General features: G+C 42.1%; 1 annotated feature.

Moving 5' to 3' along the window:
• Window positions 1,565-2,100: an enhancer, noted in NCBI's record as "OCT4-NANOG hESC enhancer chr15:60577908-60578443 (GRCh37/hg19 assembly coordinates)". NCBI's record gives its function as "activates a minimal SCP1, AML or CMV promoter by ChIP-STARR-seq in naive H9 embryonic stem cells {active_cell/tissue: H9 hESC(naive)}" and the evidence as "EXISTENCE:reporter gene assay evidence [ECO:0000049][PMID:30033119]".

Raw genomic sequence — 5,271 nt, forward strand, 5'->3', positions numbered from 1 at the left:
ATCCTTTCCCCAAAGCTCTTTGTTCTGATGTCTGACTTAGATGCTACAAGAATGTGAAGTGTTTACCAATGCTTTTTCTGAAACCTTTGCTCCAAAGATATGATGATCATTAATATGTCCTGTCCTGCCTTCTTGAGGAATGCATTACCAGTGCTTAAATATGAATATTGTGCTTGTACCTCAAAATGACAGCTCAAGAAATGCAAGGGGACTATGGTGTCAACTGCCAATCCCAACAAGTCATCCTTCCATAACTGGCAGCAAATCTGCAGTTGTACAGGTCTGCAGCAACCTCAAGTCTTGCCTCCTCAGAAGAAAGAATTTGTCTGAGGAGCATAAGGTAGAAGGAGAGACTGAAGCAAGTTTTATAGCAGAAATGAAAGTTTATTAAAGAGCATTAGAGGAGCAGGAACAGAAGGAAATAAAGTACACCTAGAAGAGGGCCAAACAAGTGCATGGTTTGACATTTTGACTTGGGGTTTTATATGTTGGCATACTTCTGGGGTCTTACATCTATCTCTTTTCCCCTGATTCTTCCCTTGGTGTGGGCTGTCCGCATGTGCACTGGCCTGCCAGCACTTGGGAGGTGAGCATGTACAGTGTGTCTACTGGAGTTGTATGAATGCTCACTTGAGGCATTCTTCCCTTACCTGTTGAATGTCCTGGGAGGTCATATACCAGCTAAACTCTGCCATTTTGCCTCTGAATGTGCATGCTTGAGCCCCCTAGACCAACTCCTGAGATCTTATCAGGAGGCTGCTGATCACCAGATTCAGATGTTTCTATCTATTGGAAGACTGCCTTTCCCTGGCACCAGCTGAGACCAATTATTATTTTAGAGAGACAGTATGACAACTGCCTGACCATCACCTGATGGTTTCTTGACATTCCTGGTGGGGTGGAGGGGAGCCGTTTCCTGCCCTGCTCATGCCTGACGAGTGACCTACTATAACACTTCAAGATAGGCAGAAAGTCAGGGAAAGTTCTAAAAAGGTTGACTAGAGTAAGGGAGAGGATGGGGAGCCTGATACACTAAAAATCTTAGAGTGCTTTAGTCTGAGAAGATGGAGAATGAAAGGAGAAATAACCAAAGAGAGACTTTTTAAAATCATAAGAGTAGAGGTAACATAAACATAAGTTTTTTCACAAAAAGCTAGAATAGGGAGGGTGTAGAGACATGAATAGAGGGGCAATTTCAACATTACAAATGAATATGTTTAGAATAAGAAACTGCTTTCCATTGTAAATTGATGCAACCAATTTACTCAATCTCCCCATTGCATGTCTCTGTCACTTTAGGTGTAACCCATTCTTCTCCCAAAATGTGGTTAAAGTTACAAGCACAGTCATAGGAAATAAAACCATATCAAGGATTGTTGTGGTATTTTTCTGTTGTTCTTGTCAACAAAATGACTCAAACTCTGTAAAATATTTGAAGAGATTTATCTGAGCCATGTATAAGTGACCAATGGCCCGTGACACATCCCTCTGGAGATCCTTAGAACATTGCCCAAGGTGGTCAGGCTATAAGTTGGTTTTATACAATTTAAGGGGACATAAAACATCAATCAATGCATGTAAAATGTACATTGGTTTGGTCTGGAAAGGTGGGACAACTGGAAATGGTGGGTGGGGGTAGTGGGGGGAGGCTTCCAGGTCTTAGGTGGATTCAAAGATTTTCTGATTTGCAATTGGTCGAGTTATTGACTGAAGACTTAGAATCAATACAAAGGAATCTCTGGGTTAAGATAAGGGGTTGTGGAGGCCAAGGTTTTATCATGCAGATCAGCCTCCAGGTAGCAGGCTTTAGAGAATAGATTGTAAATGTTTCTTATCAGATGTAAAAAGTTGGTTCTATCTGTCTTAAGATCTCTGTGCTGATGTTAATGCTGGTCAACTGTGAGACATGTCTGACACCCACCCCCTTCCTATCATGGCCTGAACTAATTTTTCAGGTTAACTTTGGAATGCCCTTGGCTGAAAGGAGGGGTCCATTCAGATAGTTGTGAGGCTTAGAATGTTATTCTTGGTTTATATTCTTTAATTTGAATGTCTCCTGAGACACAAGCACTCATTCTGCTACCTAGAGCATGCTGTCTCTTTCGGTCCTTCCTGGTGAATATCTTTCCTCATGAAACAAGGGGGCAAGTTCTACAAAGAATATGTTCAGGTTGCAAGTTTCGGTGACTACAGGTGTATTATTATAAAACATGTTGAGAAGGAAGAGCAGGTATTGGAAGGCTCCTCCCAAAACTTGGGAGGACTTGTAAGATATTCAGCAGATGATATCAGGGGCAATGATCTTAGAATTGTGGCAAGCCCTTTGAGTACCATAGATATGCACCATCCACTCCCTTAGTATGAAGTAGTCCAAGTAAATCACATACATTTGTACCCACATTTTCTCGCTGCTGCAACTTGGGAAGGAACTTAAGGAATTCCCAGGATCCGGAAATGATTAAACACATTCTCTGGTGATTTTTGTGATTTGGTATAAGTTATAAGCAATTATAGATTGGACTACCTATCCCTACTGCCACCTGGAGACTGATGCACCCAAAGTGGTCAGGATAGGTAACAAGAGGGACACCAAAATGTCACTTATTTTAAATCAAGAGTCTTACACAGACTAGGAAAGTGTCTACTACATGTTGTCTATTGTTCAGTGGTAAGAACAGTAGAAGAGAAGAAATCACAATATTTAATCACAGAAAATCCACTCATTTATTAATTCAGTCACACCGACTGGAGGCTTAGCACCCAGAAAGAGAATCATTAGTGTTCTTACCTAAGGTAAAAAAGTGTCGAGGACAGTGTGGCCTTAAGGTGGTGCTGAAGTCAAATCTAGGAAAGTCCAGTAGTCCAGCTAGGACACCATCAATCAGGACACCCACAGAACCAAGCTGGAGGAGATGGGGGTGGCACTGAGGAATCAGGAAAGCCAAGTGCCAGGTGAGGCAGGAGCAGATGAACCTGAGGTTGTCTGGATCTACTCCCCAAGACCGACCAGGCAGAGGGACGGAAGAGACATTAAGTGTTTGAACCAGGTGGTTCTCAAAACTTTTCAGTCTGAGTCCCTGTTGCTTAGCAAAAGAACAAATTACCTGCCTCAACTCCTCCTGACTGCTATGGCTAGGAAGAAACCCCAAAAATACATAAATAAATGAGAAATCTGGTTTTTTAAAAATATTTTTAACATATTATTAATTATACCAGAACTAAAATTGTGGACACAAGCATTTTTAGGGTACAACCCATGAAGCATAAAGAGACACCATGAATGTTCATGGCAATGAATATTTATTGAAAACCCAGATTGACCAGAAACTGCCAGGTATTAAAATGACAATGAGGCCAGGCGCGGTGGCTCACGCCTGTAATCCCAGCACTTTGGCAGGCCGAGGCAGGCGGATCACGAGGTCAGGAGGTTGAGGCCATTCTGGCTAACATGGTGAAACCCCGTCTCTACTGAAAATACAAAAAAAATTAGCCGGGCATGTTGGCGGGTGCCTGTAGTCCCAGCTACTCAGGAGGCTGAGGCAGGAGAATGGTGTGAACCCAGGAGGCAGAGCTTGCAGTGAGCTGAAATAGCGCCACTGCACTCCCGCCTGGGCAACAGAGTGAGACTCCGTCTCAAAAAAAAAAAAAAAATGACAATGAAAAATGAGACAAACATGGTTTCTACCTCCAGGGAATTTAGATTCTAACAATTTACAGATCACACTGGATAGCAGCCACTCTAACCAATACAGACTATCAAGGCACATCGGACAACAGTGTGCACTAGACCTCCATTGATGAGCGTACCTGTGGCACCAAAGGATTCCTTGAGCCTGCAGGAATTTATAAACCCAGCTACCTTGCATGAGATTCATTGGCTTTGAGCTGTAATCAGGTTGCTAGAATATATAATAAGGACAAAGAGATCATCTCCACCAGCCATTTGGAGAAATGCCCTTTAAACACTTCAGAGCTGAAAAAAATTGACCGGATTTCATAAAATTGAGTGCTGTATTATCACATTGATATGGATGGAAATACATCTGAATTTTTGATCATTGGTATACAGTCTGGACTAGTTTACCTCAGCTTAATTGACCTGTTGAAAAGACACCAAATAAAGCTTACATGCCTTAGCCTGACATTCAGCCCCTCATAACATGGTGAAACCCCATCTCTACCAAAAATACAAAAATTAGCCAGGCCTGGTGTCAGACACCTGTAATACTAGCTACTCGGGAGGCCGAGCCAGGCAAATCCCTTGAACCCGGGAGGCAGAGGTTGCAGTGAGCCAGGATCGTGCCGTTACACTCCAGCCTGGGTGACAAGAATGAAACTCAGCTTCGAAAAAAAAAAAAAATAGAGAATTAAAGGCCCCCACCTAATAGGATTTTTTGTAATGATTAAGCAAGCTAACATCTGTAAAGTTCTAACACAGTAAGTGATCAATAGGTACTCATTATTATTATTATCCCCATCATCATCATCATTAATTCCTGCTACCAAATTATAAGATCCCTAAAGACCAGAATGTATCCCACTCACATTTTAATTCCCCTACAGTGTCTATAGCTCAGTAACCTTTTGCTTAGGTGTGTATGTCCTGGCAAACCTTTAACAACCAGCTCTCTGGGGATGGAGAAAACCCTGATTTATAGTAATTGCCAGTTTCTATGGTGTAAATACTCCCATCATGGCCAATGTCAAGCACACGAGATGATATTACTGAAAGTGGCATTAGGAAGAGATGCATATAATCAGTTCTTGGGAGTTGTAAAAACCACTTCAGCCCACACTGGATGCACTTGGTAAATAACGATGGAATTGAAAATGGGACCAAACCTTAAGTAATTTTATACCATGGCCAGCAAAGAGCCAGGTGCATGGCCACTATGAGTAGTAGGATCTGTTCCCCATCACCTGCATTATGAGTAAAATAATCAGGCTTCTCTCCCAACAAAGAATTTTACCTCGTCATCTCTCAGATTTCACTATTGCCAAAAAAATTCTAAGTGTAACTTTAACAGAAAACTTCGTCACTTCAGGATACATGTAAACTATGTATCAATTTTAAAAAAAATGAGAGTCAGCCAGGTGCTCATGCCTGTAATCCCAGCATTTTGGGAGACAGAGGTGGGCGGATCGCTTGAGCGCAGGAGTCCAAGAAGAGCCTGGGCAACATGGCAAAACCCAATCTCTACCAAAATAATAATAATAGTACAAAAATTTGCCAGGCATGGTGGTGCATACCTGCAGCCTAGCTACTCGGGA

This window comes from Homo sapiens, chromosome 15, assembly GCF_000001405.40.
Source record: "Homo sapiens chromosome 15, GRCh38.p14 Primary Assembly".
Lineage (NCBI taxonomy): Eukaryota > Metazoa > Chordata > Mammalia > Primates > Hominidae > Homo > Homo sapiens.